Raw genomic sequence first — 22,104 nt, forward strand, 5'->3', positions numbered from 1 at the left:
CAGATTAAGTTCTTCCCACCTTTTTATGTTAAATGTGTTTTTTAATAAATACTGCTAGTGTAACTGTAAATTTGTTACAATATACTTAACTTGGAAAAATATTGCCTTTGTGAAAGGAAAATAAATCTTGAGGCCCCCAAGTCACTAAGCTAAAGGGAAAAGTCAAGCTAGGAACTGCTTAGGGCAAACCTGCCTCCTTCCTTTCTATTCAAAGTCACCCCTCTGCTCACTGAGATAAATGCATATCCGATTGCCTCTTTTGGAGAGGCTAATCAGAAACTCAGAAGAATGCAACCATTTGTCTCTTATCTACCTGTGACCAGGAAGCCCCCTCCCCACTGCCTTTCTAGATCAAATCAATGTTCATCTTACATATGTTGACTGATGTTTCCTGTCTCCCTAAAATGTATAAAACCAAACTGTGCTCTGACCACCATGGGCACATGTCGTCAGGTATTCAGGGTTCACACTTTCAACCTTTTTTCTGAAATTTGTAACTCCATGTAATCCAGAAATGTGAAAACTTCTAACCTATAGCAGCACTGGGCCCTATGAATTCAACAGTGGTAGATCTTCTGGTCCATCCTACGCATTTCTTAACACCCCTGTGTCTCCTGCTCTCTTCTCTTACTCTCTTACTCTCCTACTGCTATAAACTGAATTGCATCACCCTAAAATTCCTATGTTAAATCTAACCCACAATGTGATGGAGGTAGGAGCTTTGGGAGATAGGTTTAGATAAGGTCATGAGGGTGGGGCCCTCATGATGAAATCAGTGTACTCATAAAAAGAAGCACCAGAGAACTTGTGCAGTCTCTCATTCTCTCTCTACCATGAAGGGCACAGTAGAAGGCAGTTGTCAGTAAGCAAAGAAGAGCCCTTACCAGAAATTCTACAACTTAGAGTAACTGTGAGAAATAAGTACCTGTTGTGTAAGTCACCCAGTCTATGGTATTTTATTATGGCAGCACGAGCTAAGATGCCTACTTCTTAGCTATGGAACCCAATGCTACTGCTCAGCTCCTCCCTGGCTTCAAAAGATCCTACTCAGGAGACCTGTGAATCTCATTGTTCAAAAAAACGTTGGGAGAATTCAGAGAGAATGAGTTTTGTGGCACTATGATTTTGAAAGAGAACTATTAATAGAGTGAATTTAAAAATTAGACTATTAGAACCTAGAGAAATTGAATCTCAAACTCATATACCCACTTATGAGTGGTAGAGCCAAAATTCACATCAATTTGGTCTGCCCTCAAAGCCAATAGACTTTTCCACTAAGGCAGCCTCTTTTTTCTTTTCTTTTCTTTTTTTTTTTTTTTTTTTTTTTTTTGAGATGGAGTCTTGCTCTGACTCCCAGGCTGGAGTACAGTGGCGCGATCTCAGTTCACTACAACCTCTGCCTCCCAGGTTCAAGTGATTCTTCTGCCTCAGGCTCCCGAGTTCAAGCGATTCTCCTGCCTCAGCCTCCCGAGTACCTGGGACTACAGGTGCCCGCCACCACACCTGGCTAATTTTTGTTATTTTTAGGAGAGACGGGGTTTCACCATATTGGCCAGGCTGGCAAGGCAGCCGTTTTAACACTCTTGTTTTCCAGATAAGTCAAGTGAACCCAGAGAGGTGAAATAACATGTGAGGTTACTTGATGGGTTATTAGCAGAGAAGTACACAAAGCACGTCCAGTGTCATTTACTTATTTCCAATATGATTTAAATACATTTGAGTACACAAAATATATAGGAAACATCTACAAATGTCTTAATATTCAAACATTGTTATTATATGAATTTATATCTATTACATGTATTTTGAGAAGACCAAAAAAGGTCATGTTTCGACAATGTCTCATTATTTCATTAAAACAGGAAATTAGGTTTATCCTCCAAAAGTTAATTTTAAAATATTCAAGGAAGTTGGTTAAGGTTAGGAGGGGAACACTTTCCCTACATTTGTGTATGTGAGTTTGTGTAGACACAGAATTTTATCTTAAACCCAGTATCATAATTTGACTTTTAAAAATCATCCTACCTCCTACTTTATGAGGACAAAGAATGAGTAAGATACAGAGAACCCAATAATCTGATGAGTCACTCATGGCTCAAAAACCTTAAGAGACACAAACTCTAGGCAGAAAGTACAGTTATCAATATCACAGAAAAGACAATGAGGAAGAAGAATTCCTTTTGGTTATCTCACTTCTGCTCATCTAGCCCCCATCTGTAAAGTGATTATCATCTATCCTACTAAGAAAAGAACCAGACAACACAATTTTCTGGAAAAAAACTAAAATAACCTAAAAAGTACTCAGAAGAAATTTTGTAAAAAACCTCTGGCCAGGCGTGGTAGCTCACGCCTGTAATCCCAGCACTTTGGGAGGCCAAGGTGGGTGGATCACCTGAGGTCAGGAGTTCAAGACCATCCTGGCCAACATGGTAAAACCCCGTCTCTACTAAAAATACAAAAAAAAATTAGCTGGGCGCGGTGGCATGTGCCTGTAATCCCAGCTAGTCGGGAGGCTGAGGCAGGAGAATCACTTGAGCCTGGGAGGTGGAGGTTGCAGTGAACCAAGATTGCACCATTGCACTCCAGCCTGGGCAACAAAGCAAGACTCCGTCTCAAAAACAAAACAAAACAAAACAAAACTCTTTTTTTTTATTCTGATTGTACAGGGAATCCAATCTTCCCATCTACCAATCGTCATGCAAGATTACTTCCTGAACAAACATGGACAGGAGTTTCATGACTCTTCAATATGAATGAACTTCCCAGTCGGTCTATAAAATTTTTTTAACGTTTTTAAAAATGGTCCACATTTCATAGGATCATTGATACTGACATATCTGATGTAGGCAGAAAAACTAATTTTTTTCACTAGCACCTTGGCTCTAATGTGCAAGTTCTTCTTTGACCACATACCACAGTTTAACTTCTCTCAGGCTCTAAACCAGAATAATGTATACAACTGCACATGCGTCACCTGCAAAGTTTCTTCCCTACCAGACATCTTAGCAATGTTAGACTCATATGTTCAATTACATTAAAAACAATTACATTTTTAAGATGTAATGTTGAAAAGTACTGTAGATTTATGGGACTCTAGGAAAGAAAGATACTGCATGACCCCAGATTTTTACAAGGGGTATAGAGAGAAAGTGGAAGCAGGTACAGAAGGAGGAAAATGGACAAAAGAATAAAAGAGTGGTGGCTGAGAATCTCTAATCAAAAAGTTACTGTTTTGAACCAAGGAAGCATCTAAAAAGTATTAGGATAAAACTCTTAACAAATCCTTCTTGTCTGCTTTTAATTAACTACAAAAGTCAAAAGCACCACTTTTTAAATTACACAATCAGACAAGTATAGTAATCCAGCAGGTACATTAAACTGTATTATTTTCATTCTATTTTATGTCTAAGAAATATGTGCTGCATTCCTGCTTTACACCAGACACTGGTCTAGGCCCTAAAGACCTAGGGAAAGTTCTTGCCCACAAGAATCTACTGGACATTTACAGTCTAGCAGGCAAGTCAGACACATAAACAAATCATTACACCATATGTGATAAGGGCTGTAAGAGAGGTACAAGAAGGGCACAAAGGAAATGGTCACCTCCTTTGGGTGGTCAAAGAAAGCGTTATAAAGCTTACAATTATAAGATCATTCTTCTCTCACACTTTGAAGGAGCAGATGCTACCACTCGGTCATAATGACACCCACCTTGCCTTAGGGATGAAAGAAATAAAACAAAAGCACCTACCACAAAGTCCACTACATACAAAGCAGAAACAACAATCTTGCTAGCAGCTGTATAATACTCTACATATGACTGAGCAAAATGGAATTTGTAAAGAATCAAAGTAGTTCAGAGCTAAAAGGATCTCAATGTTCATGTACCTCTACCTCTTGCCTTTAATTAGATGGGAAATCTAAGGCCCAGCAGTTAGATTATTTACATAGCAAATCAGTAGCAAGATCTCACCAGGATAGATGTCAGATTCTTACTAATAATCTCAATGCCTTTTCCTGTAGCAAACTGTCCTGCCTGGATGAGAAGGGGAGACACACTGTTAAGGAGAGAAAAAAGAAAAAAAGAATAGAGACCCTTCATTGTTGTCCAAGGGCCAGAAGAAACAAAACAGCCCTAAGACTAGGAATCCAAGAGATCTACAATGCTCCCCAGCTCTGCTCCAACTTCTGTACTCATGAAAAATGCCATAACCTCCCTCCTCCCCCAAAATTCTAAGTCTCCAAAAATAAAAGGGCAATTGTCAAGAAATTATCTACTCTTCTTAACCTTAAGGAACATCAAACGTCCTCAAACAGCTTGAGATATGCTCCCATGTTGCCAGTTAGCTACACGTATAACATAAAAGTAGCAGCTGCTAACCTACCTATATAATGGGATTGTTTTAAAGATCAAAAAAGAATCATAATAGCTACTGGTAAAGTGCAAAACACTAAATGAATGCAATTTACTGTTAAACACAGAATTTCCATGGTCAAAAGGTTCATCTACGCCTTTTCCCCTAAAAGTGGTGGAAGGTATCATTATGGTTTAACTTTATTTTTAAAAAGCAAACATTAATGTATAATAATTTCCTACCAATCCAATGTATCTATTTCTTTCTCAATTTGTAGAAGGAAAATTCTATCCCTACCTAACCCATCCCCTATAATTTCCCTTCTTTCTTTTCTCTCCTTTACTTTAAAACAGCCACCACCATTCCAAGAGGCTCTGCTAGAACCATATAAACATCAAACGTGTAAACACAAAGCTTTTATCAAAAAACATGTTGTATAAAGTTGAATGCTGCTTCTACCAGGGCAAGCTGGGGAAACATTAAGGTGTATTGTAATAAGCAATGCCCAGCTACAAACCCAGAGTGTGGTGGGGAGGTACAGCCCCAATCTGGGGCCCTCTCCTCACTTCACCTGTCTCACTATCCTCCTTCTGCCTGATACATGATCTGCAATGGTGTGGCCACTTGTTGAGAACCCAGTGTACTTCCAGTCCTTCATAACTTTATTAGCTCTCCATAATTTGAGACTACAGCTCTGTCGCTTCACTTTCAAAACCTAACTCTCTAAATTTGAATTAGAAAATCCTAACCACAAGTGCCAAGATGTTCTCAATCCACAACCACACCTACTCAAAACAATAAATAAAAAATATCTAATATCAAGCCATTATACTCACCATTACCTCTGCCCATGAAATCTTGATTTTAATACTGTACTTTTGGGTTTTGTAAAGATCCATTCATTCCATGAGGAATTGCTTTGTGCTTGCTGATAGCTGCTGAGGACACAGACCTGTATAAAATGTGGCTCCAGCAGTGTGAGAGCAGGGCATTTAAATAGCTAACTACAAAGGGAATAAGAGCTATAATGGAAGCATAAACAATTTAGCACTTAACAGACTTGATGAAGGAAGAATGCTTCCCGAGGTGACACTTGACCTGACCTTGAAGGATAAGAAGGAGCTTACTGGGCTTATTATAAGTGGGTAGAAGCACACTCTTCACCGTGGGAACAGTAAGTGAAGGACACAGAATCATGAAAGATAAATGCATTGTAGAGAACACTGAGAACTTCAAGTGCCTGGAACACAGGGGTGGGGAGTGGAGGAGACAGGACAAGGGAAGCAACACCCAAATAATGCATGATCAATATGCTAAGCTCAGATGTTTTTACTCTATTCTGCAGGCAATAAGAAAATGCTATTAACTTTGTATTTCTGGAAGATGACTTTGGCAGCCACATGAGACCAACTGACACAATGAAAGGAAACTGACTGGCCGGGTGTGGTGTTTCATGCCTGTCACCCCAGCACTTTGGGAGGCTGTGGTGGGTTGACCACTTGAGGTCGGAAGTTTGAGACCAGCCTGGCCAACATAGCAAAACCCCATCTCTCCTAAAAATATAAAAATTAGCCTAAAAATACAAAAAAAGTGGCACACGCCTGTAATCCCAGCTACTTGGGAGGCTGAGACATGAGAATTGCTTGAACCCAGGAGGTGGAGGCTGCAGTGAGCCAAGATTGTGCCACTGCACTCCAGCCTGGATGATGGAGCGAGACTCTGTCAAAAAAAAAAAAAAAAAAAAAGGAAACTGGTTAAGATGATGTTCCAGGGATCCAGGAGACTAAGATAGAAGCAATAAGAATGCAAATGAAGAGATGGTATCAATAAATATTTAATGGATAAAATGAATGGGACTTGATAATTAATTGGATTGTGGGAGTAATGAAAAATAAAGCTCCCAAGTTCCTGTGAGTCAAAGGTTAGATAGTGGTACCATGAAGTTAGAAAGAGACTTCCAAACAAAGTAAGAAACAGAAAGGAAGGAAGGAAAAGCTTCCACTTTGAATACATCTGGGCTGAAAATGTGTGACATCCAGGTGGAAATCCGAAGATGGTTGAAGGTATGTGTCTGAATGACAGAGCCTGGTTTCCAGACTGAAATGTGGAACTGCTCAGCCAATCAATGGTATCAGAGGTAGATGAAACTGTAGAGAAAACAAGCAGTAGGATAAATGCTCATCAAAAATCTCCAGGCAGAGAGACCAAAGAACCTATCAAGGAGGCTAAGAAGGATCAGCATTAAGAGAAAGGAAAACAAGAAACTACTGACGAGAAAGAAGAGTCTAACGGGGAGGCATGACCAACAGGGGCAAGGGCAGATTGCTTCAGGGAACAATAAGGGTTAAAAGGGTCATAAGATGGCTACTAACCTCAAAGAGCAAGTTCAGTGGCTAGGAGAAGAAAAATCTAATGGCTACAGATAAAATATCAGAAGAGGGGAGGGAAAGAGGTAAGTGTAAATTAATATCTGAAGTTTAGCAATGAAGAAAAGGCAAGTAATAACTACAAAAAGTCTAGGATTCAGGGGAGATGTATGTTTAGGCTGTTTTTGTTTGGTGCAGTCTTTCGGTGGGAGAGATAGAGAGGAGAGGTTCAACACACAAAGTAGAAAGAAAGGAAAATGAATGGCATGTAGTTCAAAAAAGATGGAGGAAAAGGATCAAAACCACAGAGAAGAGTTTAACCTTCAATAGCAGGAGGAACATCCTGACCCCACAGGCCAAAGAGAACAGTAATGGGAAATAGACATCGGCTGGGAGAGGAAGGGGTTTAAGGAAGCTAGAAAGATTGGGGGAGGGGCAGGGGTGGGGTGGATCTAACAACTTTGGAGCATTTTGTTAAATGAAATTTATAGGAGGCCATTGTTTTGGACTAGCCTCCTGCACTAGGCTCCAGCAGACCATACCACACCAGAATGGAGCTAGGTAATCAAACTAAACTCTGAAACGGGGCAGTTGTTTAAAAAGGAAGAAAGGAATTCACAACAACCAATCCAAAGGGGTAGGCATGATAAGGAAGTCCCCTCTGTTTTAACACTATAAGAAAAGTCACTTTGAAACAACCAACATGCTTTTGTTCTCTGTTTCTGCTTCCGTCAGCTCTTTTCTGTCTATAAAAGCAACTTCCTCTGTTCAGCTTATCGGACATTCATTCTATTTTATAGAATGAGGTGTTGCTCCAGTCTTGAATGGCAAATAAAAACCAATTAAAATCTTTAAAATAAATTTACTGTAATTTTAACAATGTAAAGGAAAAAAACTAAGGAGAAAGGGGGAAATTTTGGAGAAAATATGGTCAACCACCCAGAATATATTCAATGATAATTCTCCTAGCATTTATATAAACATATGGCTTAAAACAGGCCGAACAATTTTCAATATGAGAAGTCATTGGTGTTTTAAACTCTTCTTACATAGTAACTTGATTTGTAAATCAATATCTATTAAATAAGTTACCCAGGAGAATAATCAAATGAGTGCCAATCTCCTTATCAGTACAGAGGCAGAAAAGTTGTTAAAAATAATTCACTGAAATTGCAAAGTTTGGGGAGGGGTGTTTTGTTTTCATCATAGTGTGTGCCAAGGGCTTGACTAAATTTATTTTATTAGATACAATACCTACAACTGTAGCTCCTATTCTCAAACTGTGAAGCCTGTGTCTCAATAAAATGCCAGTTTAAAAGACAAGATAATGAAGACCACCATCACCACCAGAACTCCATAAGAATATGTGAAAGGTTATAAAACAAAACTCCTTTTATAGGGTTGAATCCTTTCCAGGGTGGGCCTTTAAGACATTCTGACAGTGCACACAAATACTATCTCTGGAACAAAACCAAAAAGGCACAGCTGCAAGACATCTTCCACTGAAGTTGTAACTGACTCAATAGCAGTTCTTCCTTTGAGCAAGAGAGTCTATAAAAGCCAGAAGCAGAGCTATTTTTCCCTACAAACTGTTTAGTGGAACTGTCTTCTACTGATCCAAATTGTAGCTTTATTAAAAAAGCTAAAATAGCATGTCCATTTAAATTTGTAAAATAAAAATATAAATAAAATTTGGAGAAAAAAGTATATGTGGTTTTCATTATGCAAAATCCCTAACTGAACCAAAATTATGCTAAAATATATAAAGATATACATTTTTAAAATTACTATTTATCACCATCACCAGCAGGAAATTTGAATTTATTATAACAGAATTATGTTTTCAAACTACTAAGGAATAATAGTGATTTTAAAAGTTTTGATGATTAGCATTCATATTCAGAACACTGATTTATTTTGAGCTTTATTTCATTTAAACTTATATCTGGATATTTATGACAGCTAAGAATTAAAAAAAAAAAAAAGCATTTTTAAGTCAATTAGGAATAACTCCGAAACAAGAAACACAATTTAGGAAACCAAATCAATGCTTTATTTTGTGATGCTTTCAATACTGTAGTTTTGACTATGTTTCTATAGCAACACCAACAAATACTTCTTCTGCAGCCAAGATGAAAACCAATAACCACTTCTCTAGTTTATTTCTATTATGGCTTCCAACAACAACTACAAAAAATCAGCCTTTCTAAACCTCATTCTATAAACTTCAAAACCTAAGGCTTAAATATATAACAGTTGCAGTTAACCACAAGTGTCAGATATTCTCCAATTCTTTGGAAGGGAAGTTAATGACAGACAGGGTATAATTCTGTTACCTTTTTGACAGCAATTCATTCAGAATAACAAATAAAAAAATAGGGGGAAATAAAGTAATGACCAACAAATGACTTACTTGGAACATTATCTAAATTCTAGAGAAACGGACATGAAAACTTTGTGTCAAAACGTAAAGAACTCAATATTCCAAGAATTATGCAACGTTCTCTGCAGAAGTTTCAGACTTTCTTTCAAAAACCATTTTTTGTTGGAGTCATTGTTTTGAAGAAAATATTTTACTAATAATAAAAGACCTATCTACCTGGTGAGAAAGCTTTCTGCTAAATGCTTTACAAACATATTTATGCTTTGAAACATCTCTGTAAGGCACATATTATCAAGTTCATTTTGTAGTCAAAGAAAATGAGGCTCGGAGAAATTAAATAACTTCCCTTAATAAGCATAAAATGCAAAAATCATACAGTGGTTAATCAACAGTCCTGGAGTTAGACAAACCTGAATTTGGATTCTGGCTCAACCGCCTAACAACCATGTGTAAATCCAATTCTAGTTTATGTGAGATAAATTCTTGACATCACACCATGATGCTTATATAGCCTCAACTACAAAAAGCAGCCTTTAGGTAAACAGCCTCACATTCCGGTGTCTCACATTTGCCCACGGACTTTACTATAATCATCAGGACTTTATTCAACTGTTTCCACTCTAGTACCATAAAGTTCTCAAAAAGATTTCATAAGAGAAACCAGGAACCGCAAATGAAAGTTGCAGATGTTTCTATCTTCCAAACACACATATACGTATCAACAGAGGCTTGCCTGGCATTTAATGTTACTGGCTAGATATATCAGTATATGCCTTTCTTCAGAACACTGAGAACTACAGTAATGTGTCAATGAGGATCATGTTTTTGAGAAATGTATCCTTAAGGTGATTGGTGATTTCATCCTTGTGCCAGCATCACAGAGTGTACTTACAACGTACATGGTATAGCCTACTACACATCTAGGCTAGATGGCATAGTCTATTACTTCTAGCCTACAAATTTTTACGGCATGTTACTATACACTTGTACACTACTATAGACTTTTTTTTTTTTTTTTTGAGACAGAGTCTTGAGTTCACCTGAAAGTTCACCCAGGCTGCAGTACAGTGGTGTGATCATGGCTCACTGCAGCCTCAACTTCCCGGGCTCCAGTGATCCTCCCACCTCAGCCTCCCAAGTAGCTGGGACTACAGGCACACACCACCTGCCCTGCTGATTTTTTTTATTTTTTGTAGAGATGGGATTGCACCATGTTGTGCAGGCTGGTCTCAAGCTCCTGGGTTCAAGCAATCCTCCTGCCTAGGCCTCTCAAAGTGCTGAGATTACTGGCATGGGATACCATGCCCAGCCTGACTACAGATTTTATAAACACTGTACACTTAGGCCACATAAATTTTTTTTAATATTTTTATTCAATGAATTAACCTTAGCTGTCTTTTTACTTTATAAACTTGCATTTTTTAAAGCTTTTTTACTCTTGTAACACTTAGCTTAAAATGCAAACATATTGTACAGCTGTACAAAAATATTCTTTCTTTATATCCCTATTCTATAAGCCTTTTTCTATTTTTAAACTCTTTTGTTAAAAACTAAGATAAAAACACACATACTAGCATAGGCCCATACAGGGTCAGAATCATCACTATCACTGTCTTCCACCTCCATATCTTGTGCTTTTAGAAGGTCCGCAGGGGCAATAACATGGAGCTGTCATCTCCCATGATAACAATGCTTTCTTCTCAAATACCTGCTGAAGGACATGTCTGAGGCTATTTTACAGTTAAAGTTTGTTTTTTGTAAGTAGAAGAAGTATACCCTAAAATAATGATAAAAAGTATAGTAAATACATAAACCAGTAACATAATCATCTATCATTATCAAGTATTATGTACTGTACCTAACTGTATGTGCTAGATCTTTATGTGATTGGCTGTACAGTAGGTTTGTTAACACCAACATCACCACAAACATGTGAGTAATGCATTGTGCTATGACATTACCATGGGAACAATGTCACCAGATAATAGGAATTATTCACCTCCACTAGAATCTTATGGGACCTCCATCCTATATGTGGTCTGTTGTTGACCAAAATGTTGTTATGTATCACATGACTGTATTTGGGGAGATCAGAGAAGTCCAAATGAAAAGCTTTCTCTATAAACTCGAGGTAACTGTAAATGCATTTTTAAAAAGATGCCTAAAGGACTACCAACACATATACCAGGTTTCCCAGAACAGCTCTAGTTTCAAATATTCTGTCCCACTGTCTCCTTAAGAAAATACATACATTCTAGATCACACTTATCCTTTCTATTTTTTAACTGAAACAACATAATCAACAGATTTACGGGCTTGGGACCAAGAGATTACTATTGGCTAGAATGGTAAATAGAAGAAACTTGAATAAAACTCTGAAAGGGAGAATGAATTGCCATTGGTAGGAAAAAGGGACAAGAACCTTCAAGAGAGATGGGAACAGCCCTAAGGCAGGGTGAAGATGAAGAATGGACAATATGCTCTCGAAGATCTTGGTGATAGTGACAGGAGGCAGCCAAATGCCTAGACAGATCCCCAGTGAACCCTCACCTTCAAGCCAAAAAAACCAGCCTGAAAGCTGAAAGACCAGGACTGCTGGTCCTGAATGAAACGCACAACCCAGAGTGAGATCTTCTGTTCCTGTTTGCCCACCCTTTCCTGACTGATTCTTTCTGAATAATGCTTTTTAACCAATTGAATGTTGTCTTTTCCAATACTACCTTTGGCCTGCTCCTCCCCCACTCTGAGCCCATAAAAGCCCTGGACTCAGCCACATTTGGGGGGGGACTTTCCCACCTTCAAGTAGTAGGACCATCCCGCATCTCCTCTCCACTGAAAGCTGTTTTCTTCACTCAGTAAAACTCCCTGCCTAGCTCACTCTTCAACTGTCAGTGCACCTCATTCTTCTTGGGTGCGCGACAAGAACTCGGGAACCAGTGCGTGGGACAAGAACTCGGGAACCAGTGCATAAGCTAGATTCGACCTGGAAGGGCCAAGTGAATGTGACGTCTCCTGCAGCAGGTAGCATGGCCAAGTGAGGTCCAGATGGGACATCGCCAGCTGAAGGTCCCCAGCTTGCAAAGTGACCAGGAAAAGAATCCTGTGTCATTGTGAGTAGGAGTTGGTGACCTGGGCAGTGAAATGACCACTGTCACTGGATCAGAATTATACACAAAGATAAATCAGAGGTAATGCTGAAATATGACAGCTAGAAAGAGTGCTGAGGGCTTTGAAGAACAGAAAAAGAACCTTGGGCTAAAGAATATAGGTGAGAAGCTCCTTGAAGATGTTTTTCTTTTGTTTTGCTTTTTTGGTAGCAGCTTGGAGATATACAAGTCACCCATTATAGGTGTACAATTAAATAGTTTTGAGTATAGTCACAGAGGTGTACAACCAGCACCACAAACAATTTTAGACCATATTTATCACCCCGAAAAGAAACCCTTCCTAACCCATTCTATAGGGCCTGATACAAAAGCCAAAAAAAACCACCACAAGAAAAGTAAACTACAGACCAACATCCCTATAAACATACGGGCAAAAATCCTTGGCAAAATACTGGCAAACCAAATCCAGCAGGATATTAAGGGATCATATGTCGTGGGCAAGTGGGATTTATTCCAGAAATACAAGAGTAGTGTAACAAAAGAAAATGAACCAATAAACCATATTAATAGAAACCAAGCAGGGGAACCCACATGATCACCTCAATAGACACAGAAAAAGCATTTGACAAAAGCCAGCATCCTTTTCACAATAAAAATACTCAATAAACTAGGAGTAACATTTCTCCAAGGAAGATATACAAATGGCCAATCATAACATGAAAAGATATTAAACATCATTAGTCATTAGAAAGTGGAAATCAAAATCACATTCATATACCACTTCAAACCCACCAGGATAGCAATATTTAAAAAAGAAAAAAAAAAGAACTGTTGGCAAGGATTTGGAGAATTTGAATCCTTATGCATTGCTGGCAGGAATGTAAAATGGTGTAGCAGATTCAGAAGGTTCTAGGGAAAGTGAAGAGTAGGAAGTGACAACTTAAGAGGTATAGGATTTTTTTCTTTTTTTTTTTTTGAGATGGAGTCTTGCTCTGTTGCCCAGGAGGCTGGAGTGCAGTGGCACGATCTTGGCTCACTGCAACCTCCACCTCCCAGGTTCAAGCGATTCTCCTGCCTCAGCCTCCCGAGTAGCTGAGATTATAGGCACGTGCCACCACACCCGGCTCATGTTCTGAGATAGTAGTAATGGTTGAACATTTCAAATGTAATAAAAACCACTGAACTGTATATTTTAAAATGGGTAAAATAATAAATTTTATGTTATATGATTTTGATCTCATTAAAGAAAAAAGAAACCTCATACTCCAGCTGTCACACCCCAGTACCCCCAGCAATCACTAATCTACTTTCTGTTTCTATAAATTTCCCGATCCTGGACATTTTACATAAATGGATTCTTGTATGTGGCCTTTTGTGTCTGGTTTCTTTCACTTATGTTTTCAAGGTTCATACATGTTGTAACATATCAGTACTTCCTTCATCTGTATGCCCCAATAATATTAAATTCTATGGCTATATCAGAGGGTGTTTATCCATTCATCAATTGATGGATATTTGGGTTGTGTCTGCCTTTTGGTTAGTATGAATAGCCACTATGAACATCCGTGTATAATTTATTGTGTGGTCATACGTTTTCATTTCTGCTGGGCATATACTTATGAGCAGAACTGCTGGATCGAATAATTACTCTATGTTAAGTTTCTGAGGACACACCAGACTACTTTCCAACATGACTGCACTTACATTCCCACCAGTAGTATACGTGGGTTCCAATCTCCTGGGCCTACTGTGGCCAAGCAGGATGAACACTAAATGTTGTTCTGAGGGTCAAGCGTGGTGGCTCATGCCTGTAATCCCAGCCCTTTGGGAGGCCAAGACAGGTGGATCACTTGATTGCTGGAGTTCAAGACCAGTCTGCCCAACATGGTGAAACCCTGTCTCTACTAAAAATACAAAAATTAGCCGGGTGTGGTAGCATGCACCTGTAGTCCCAGCTACTCCGGAGGCTGAGGCAGGAGAATCACTTGAACCCGGGAGGCAGAGGCTGCAGTAAGCCGAGATCGTGCCACAGAACTCCAGCCTGGGCAACAGAGCAAGACTCTGTCTCATAAATGAATGAATGAATGAATGAATGAATGAATGAATGAATGTTGTTCTGAGAAGAAAAATTTAGGAGGCTAAAATTGGGAAAGGTAGTCAGTAGAAACAGGGAGAATGCAGACAGCAAGGTAAATAGGCTCAGGTGGGCTAGGTGCAGTGGCTCACACCTATAATCCCAATACTTTGGGAGCCCTAAGCAGGAGGACTGCTTGAGCCCAGGGGTTCAAGACCAGCCTGGGCAACATGGTGAGATCCCTATCTCTACAAAAAAAATTAAAAATTAGCTGAGTGTTGGTGGTACATGCCTGTGGTCCCAGCTACTCAGGAGGCTGAGGTGGAAAAGTTGCTTGCACCCAGGAGGTGGAAGCTGCAGTGAGCCCTGACTGGGCTACTGCACTCCAGCTGGAGTGACAGAGCAAGACCCTGTCTCAAAAATAAATAAATAAAAATAGGCTCAGGTGGAAGTACCAGTCAAAATAACAAATAAAGAATAGGTATTAAACACATTTTAGAGAAAATAATCCATAGGAGTTGAAGTCTAAATAGCAGATAAAGAAGAATAACTAAAAAATAATGCCAAGATTCAAGGCCAGAAGACAAGAAGACTGCAAGATTCTGGAACTTTCAGGCATACTGAGTTTGAAGTGATGTAACACCTAAATTCTTAGAAAAGATTACAGAAATCAAGAGTAAAGATGACAACTTAGGGGTCACCCCAGAGGTATGAGAGATTAACCCTGATCCTATCATTTGCTACTAGTATTAATCTCAAAACTTTTTTCCAAACAAGTGACTATTCCTGAAAAGTTTTAGTAATACAAAAATAGAGGAAAAGCACCTTAAAGCCAGGCTTTCCTGAGGGGTGGCGGGGGAGACTACAGCAGGGCATCCGAAGGGGCTGTAAATATGTAAAAGTCTGCATAACAAGAATAGCATCAAGGTGCTCTAAGAACTAAACATGGTAGACCAAGTCTACCTTCTTAAGAAGGTACAGTCATCTCCATGTGCCTAATGAAAAAATATTTGGAGGGAAATCTCAGTGGTAAACTAATCTACCTGCTACAACACTAGCTACAAATCAGCTCAACAGGCAAGATAAGTGCTAAGAATGAAGGAAAGGAGGCTGGGCACAGTGACTCATGCCTGTAATCCCAGCACTTTGGGAGGCCGAGGCAGGCGGATCACCTGAGGTCAGGAGTTCAAGACCAGCCTAGCCAACATGGTGAAACCCTATCTCTACTAAAAATCCAAAAATAAGCTGGGCATGGTGGTGCATGCCTGTAGTCCCAGCTACTCAGCAGGCTGAGGTGGGAGAATTGCTTGAACCCAGGAGGCAGAGGTTGCAGTGAGCCAAGATCACGCCACTGCACTCCAGCCTGGGAGATAAAGTGAGACTCTGTCTCAAAAACAAACAAACAAACAAAGAATGAAGGACAGGAAGCCCAATATCAGATCATTCATTGAACATTCACTCATTCAGCAAATAACTATTGATAGCCCATTAAGTGCCAGACAATTGTGGACACATGTGATAACTGCCTTAGGTACACACACCTAATACATACTCTTCTGAACAACCTCTATTCTCCCCAATTGACTCTCTACTTGCCTTTCTCCCCTATCAGGTTACAAGCTCCACAAGGCTGTATAATGTTTAAAATAAAATATAAGGTTGACAAATAGGTAGTCACAGCCTCTGCTCTCTCTCCCTCAAAGAGAAGTATGCCTTTATAATCTCAATTTTGAACACAGCTTGACTGATGTATTATGGAATGGGCTGAGTAGAAAAAAAAAATAGCTGCTAAAAGAACTGCGGGAGAGTTGATATTTGGTGGGAGAGAAACTGGTTTAAGGGAGAGCGTTTGAGGTCTGCTCTATACTGTGACGAAGAATCAAAAAAGGTAAGTTGATGAAGATAATTTTTCTTAAGTTTTGCTGTTATAACGAAACCTTCTGCTTCTCTAGAGACTAAAAACTTAAATGGTTTGTCAATTATTTGTCAATGTTGGGATCTGTGTTTTCTTCGTTATCAAAATTAAAACTAGGCCCTGAGTGAGCTCATCTTTATGCAAGTTACAGTATCTGAATAGGGAAAGTGTCAGTGGAACGAAGTGGATAAATTCAAGAAATATTCAGTTAGTAGAATGGTAAGACACATGGCCAAAGACATTTGGGAATTAAGAGAGCAAGGGAAAGCTAAAGAAAGAACAATTAGAAATGGGACAGTAAAGCCATTCACTGAAATAGTTAACAAGGAAGGACTAGGCTCTTTTGGAGGCAAGCTAATGAGTTCAATTTAGACTGGGTAACAACAACATAAAGACATATAACTAATAAAACACAATAGTGGATCAGCAGGGCACAGTGGCTCACACCTGTAATCCCTGCACTTTGGGAGGCCAAGGCAGGTGGATCACCTGAGGTCAGGAGTTTAAGACCAGCCTGGCTAAAATGGCGAAACCCTGCCTCTACTGAAAATGCAAAAATTGGCCGAGTGTGGTGGTACATGACTGCAGGTCCAGCTACACAGGAGGCTGAGGCAAGAGAATCGCTGGAACCTGGGAGGCAGAGGTTGCAGTGAGCCAAGATCACACCATTGCACTCCAGCCTGGGTAACAAAGCAAGACTCTGTCTCAAAAAAAAAAAGCCAATAGTGGAAAGACAAAATGAAGTCAGAGAAAAACATATCTAGAGGAAGCCTGTAAAAGAGAAAAAGAAACGAAGACTAGATGGGAGAAATACATAACACATAGCAAGATGGTACTCAAATATATCAATAATTAAATGTAAATGGTCTCAAGACACAAATTAAAAGGCAGAGATTGTCAGGCTGGTTTAAAAAGAAAGAATCAATTCCAGTCTATGTACAAGAAACCTATTTTAAAGATAAAAATATGGGAAAAGAGAGATGGTACGAAGCAGCAAATTGTGATATACAGAATTAACTTTGATTGTAAAATAAAGAGATAACCCTAAACAGCAAAAATAAAGTGCTTTGTTTAGTGCAAGAGTGAAGGATAGTCTGTAAAAGTCTAGACAAAGATCTCATAATAATACGAATGAGTATGGTTGGTATACTATGCCGAGGACATATAATTAAATGTTCTAAAGGTGCTTATAACCTTATTAACTATACAGGTAATTTTTTTTTTTTTTTTTGAGGTGGAGTCTCGCTCTGCCGCCCAGGCTGGAGTGCAGTGGCATGATCTTGGCTCACTGCAACCTCCACCTCCAGGGTTCAAGCAATTCTCCTGCCTCAGCCTCCCAAGTAGCTGGGACTACAGGCGCATGCCACCAAGCCTGGCTAATGTTTTTTTGTATTTTTAGTAGAGACGGAGTTTCACCATGTTATCCAGGATGGTCTCAATCTCGTAACCTCGTGATCCGCCAGCTTCAGCCTCCCAAAGTGCTAAGATTACAGGCATGAGCCACTTACCAAACAGTACAATCTTGGTTCAAGGCCATGACTTGGAAACACCAGTAGTTCTGAACTTAAAATGTCAATTTTGCGTCTGTCATACTCCTTTTCTACCCTGATTTCCACTGCCCCCATCTGCCATGTTAGTAATGTGTACCCCCACAGCTATGTCCTCTTCCACACACACAAAACACAATGGTAGTCATATGGGTGCTAAGTAGCTTAAGAAACCAATCAGTGTAGTATACCAAGGAGACATTTACAGGGGCTTTACAGTTTACAGAGCCTTCACCCTTTCCCAATCATATTCTTATTTAATAAATTTAAGAGGCTTTCAACATGTCTAATTCATGTTTGATACAGTAGAAAGGTCTTACTACTGGGCATCCACATTTTACTTGGCTTACCCTCATAAATCTAATCCTACAGTATTTTGTTCCTTCACACTCAAAACACATTCGTTAAAACAGCAATGTCCAATATTACTTGAACTCCACTACGTATCTACTTCTTTTTTTATTTTTTTACCGTTCAGCTCTGTTGGACTTGATATAGCTACATCTTTGTACTGGTTTTTAAAGTTTAAAATCATGGCCAAAAATAATAAACATTTTGAGGTGTTCCGCTAATTTTAGGGAAGGTGTCAACAACATGAAGATGCATATGTGCTTAACATGTTGTCTTTGCTTTATTCCTCTTCAGAAGGAGATTTGGTCTTTGTAGAAGAAAAATATAAAAAAATATTTTTTCAAGCTTTTATTTTGAGAAGACTGTGAAAAGTTCACATCCATGGTTATAATTTGTTTCTCTTGGATCTAAACATACACCCACCCGTTGGCTTCAGAAAAGTACTTGGATAGAAATCCTAGGAGAGTGATACTTCCTGGAAGTTTCAATTAGGGGAAGAAAAAAAAGAAAAAAAAGAAAATCTTTCTATGGAAGGACAGCCAGTAGCAAATTACACACATGTTGAGTAAATACCAATTTGTAAAAATCTATTCTTACACAAAAGATATATTCATTGACTCAACACGTTTCTTCAGTAATTATTAAGAGGGTGATTTGCGAAAAGATTCACACTCACACATTTGATATGTGTGAGTGTGATAAGATTATGAAAAGATTCTGTTAAATATTAAGCAAAATGGTTCAGTATGAAAAATTTATGTATCTACAGTTTTGCTGGTCAAATTCCTATCACCAGCATCCTTCTCCTTACCACTAAATTGCTGTTGACTGGCTGCCACTCAAGTAATCAAATCCCTAGGGGAAAGCCAGCAATCTTACATCCATACCCCCCATACCCTAATAACTTAGGCTTGTGGTAGGTAGTCAATGGAACATTTTATGAGTTAATCAATAATTGCACCTAATTCATTAAGTGGTGTACAGCTACAAACCAAATCCCAGTAAAACAAACAGAAAATGAACTCAATACAGCCATCATTCCTCATCCTTTCCTCTCTATGGGGACTCGCTTTGTTGTCCTTTCTCTGTATGTATTTCTACTGCTGAAATTACCAATTCAAATTCTTTTTTTTTTTTTGAGACAGAGCCTCGCTCAGTCGCCAGGCTGGAATGCAGTGGCGCCATCTCAGCTCACTGCAACCTACGCCTCCCAGGTTCAAGCAATTCTCCTGCCTCAGCCTCCCAAGCAGCTGGCACTACAGGGCCACCACGCCCAGCTAATTTTTGTTATTTTTAGTAGAGATGGGGTTTCACCATATTGGCCAGGACGGTCTTGACCTCTTGATACACCTGCCTCAGCTTCCAGCCTCCCAAAGTGCTGGGATTACAGGCATGAGCCACCGCACCCAGCCCCAATTCCAATTCTTAGTATCAGTCTGTCTTACTGTGAACTCAGCAGCTCAGTCTTCTTACTCACCTTTGAATCCCTAGCCTGGCACACACTAAGACTGGGCACAAATTTATTTCATAATAAGGAAAAACAAATACCAAAGATAGCTCCTTAAATCAGTTTTCTCAATCTTTGTGTTATTTTACAGTGGTAAGCATAATGAATTTAATTGGCAACAACAAAATTCACTATTACAATTAAATATTTGATCCTAGTCACCTTTACAATAAATACCCCAAAAAGGTATATATACCACCAGGTGTTACCGCACAGAGAGAAATACAAGATCATTATTGGACCCAGAAATGACATCTAGTGGCTATAGATAAGAGAAATATGAAATGAGGCTTCCTTGTCCCAGGGAAATTAGGTAATTTTCTAGGAAACCCAACATATATTTCTAAAACACAGGTACTTATAATTGTCTCTGCAAGGCTCTTGTATCGGTTCAAACCCTGAGAGCGTGCCAACAAACAACACAAGGCGGTGTGTAGCAACACACTGTTTTAATGAGCGCCTGGGTGCAGGTGGGCTGAGGCTTAAAATGGCGTCAGCACCAAAGAGGATGGGGCAGGGGTTTTATAGTCTGCTGTAAACAGGAAGTGTCTCAGTCTGATGTAACTGCTAGGTAGTACCCAGACGGCCTCCCTCTCGATCTTCAGGGGGTATGTGTCTTCCGGCCAGCTCTCTTCCTGCTTCTGCTATCTTGCTGACACCGGCTGCTGGCGCAAGTGACCTTGCTCCTTGGAACTGGGCGTGAGGAGGGAGGAGTTATTCATTCCCTTAAGCTTTCAGGCCCTGGGGAGAATCTTTCATTCCTATCTATTTGGTTATAGAAAAGGTAAAGCAGAGTAGGTTGCCCCAGTATTAATTTTAAAAAATATATTGGCCTACCTGCCACCATCAGGGTTACCCTTGGCTCGGATGAAAAATGTTTAAAAACCAACCCAAGCTTCCAGGTATAAGGTTAAAAATAGGCAGTATATGACCTAACCTAACAATAGCTCTGTTACCGACTTTAAGCCACAGTATACCGGGAATAAAACTTGGGGTTGGGAGAAACGTCATGAAGTTATTTGTGAGTTTATGGTACACACATTCACAAATCACAAGGCTGTGAAAGAGACATCTAGTAGATGGCAAACCAACCCAGCAGGGAGTCTACCACTCCAGCAAAATCCACTGGCAGAGTAAGCAGGATGCTAAGAATGTGAAAGACTAAAATGGGCTAAGAGTAATGTAGCCCCTTTTCCAAGATGACCCTGAGCTGTAACGTAGTGCATGAAGGAACCAGGGGCGGTTAGATCTGATCAGGAATCACACTTCAAGGACAAGCTGAGACCCAGAAAAACCACTGTTCTCACTTACCTGATCATCTACCCATGAGCCACACAACTAATGACCTACAGAATTGGGATATGGCTGTGCAACAGGAGAGGGCAGGGCAGAGTGTGTCCTGGGGAAAACCTAACGCTGGGACTCACCACTGACACATAGGCTAGATAGAAATGGAACCAGAGGAATGAACAGCCCCTGCAGACTGCATTCTATGAGAAAAGACAGGGCCTCCAGATGCAACAGGTCAACTGGACTTTGCATGGTCTGCCCCAGGCGACAAAAGGACTGTGTCTGCAGTTGTACCTATAAAAGCTGAAGTATGACAGACAAGCACATATCTATGACTACACTCACTGAAAGGATATATACATGTTTATATATTATACTTAAACATATAGAAAAGTATAGGTACTGTGAAAAACATAAATCTTGGGGCCCCCAAATCAGTAAGCTCAAAGGAAAAGTCAAGCTGGGAATTGCTTAGGGCAAACCTGACTCCCGTTCTTTTTAAAGTCACGCCTCTGCTCACTGAGATAAAAGCGTATCCGATTGCCTCCTTTGGAGAGGCTAATCAGAAACTCAAAAGAATGCAACCATTTGTCTCTTATCTACCTATGACCAGGAAGCCCCCTCCCCGCTGAGTTCTCCCGCCTTTGCTTCAAGTTGTCCCACCCCACCTTTCCAGACAGAACCTATATTCATCCTACATATGTTGACTGATGTCTTAGGTCTCTCTAAAATACATAAAACAGGCCGGCCAGGCGTGGTGGCTCACACCTGTAATCCCAGCACTTTGGGAGGCCAAGGCGGGTGGATCACGAGGTCAGGAGATCAAGACCATCCTGGCTAACACGGTGGAACCCCATCTCTACCAAAAATACAAAAAATTAGCCAGGTGTGGTGATGGGCGCCTGTAGTCCCAGCTACTCGGGAGGCTGAGGAGGAGAATGGCATGAACCTGGGAGGCGGAGCTTGCAGTGAGCCGAGATCGCACCACAGCACTCCAGCCTGGGCGACTAAGCGAGACTCCGTCTCAAAAAAACAAACAAAAAAAACAGGCCAGGCACAGTGGCTCATGCCTGTAATCCCAGCACTCTGGGAGGCCTAGGCAGGCAGATCACCTGAGGTCAGGAATTCGAGTCCAGCCTGGCCAATATGGTGAAACCACTCCAGCCTGGGTGACAGAGTGAGACCCTGTCTCAAAAATAATAATAAAAT

The 22,104-nt window shown here is 40.0% G+C and overlaps 1 protein-coding gene across 18 annotated transcripts in view, besides 1 other annotated feature; it reads right to left on the reverse strand.

Annotated features, from left to right (window-relative positions):
• The window catches only part of EPB41L2 (erythrocyte membrane protein band 4.1 like 2), a 223,899-nt gene that overhangs the window by 134,067 nt on the left and 67,728 nt on the right, over positions 1–22,104 (reverse strand). The window lies entirely within an intron of this gene.
• Positions 19,696–20,543: an enhancer, noted in NCBI's record as "H3K27ac-H3K4me1 hESC enhancer chr6:131314249-131315096 (GRCh37/hg19 assembly coordinates)". NCBI's record gives its function as "activates a minimal SCP1, AML or CMV promoter by ChIP-STARR-seq in primed H9 embryonic stem cells {active_cell/tissue: H9 hESC(primed)}" and the evidence as "EXISTENCE:reporter gene assay evidence [ECO:0000049][PMID:30033119]".

The sequence above is a fragment of the Homo sapiens genome, chromosome 6 (genome assembly GCF_000001405.40).
Source record: "Homo sapiens chromosome 6, GRCh38.p14 Primary Assembly".
NCBI lineage: Eukaryota > Metazoa > Chordata > Mammalia > Primates > Hominidae > Homo > Homo sapiens.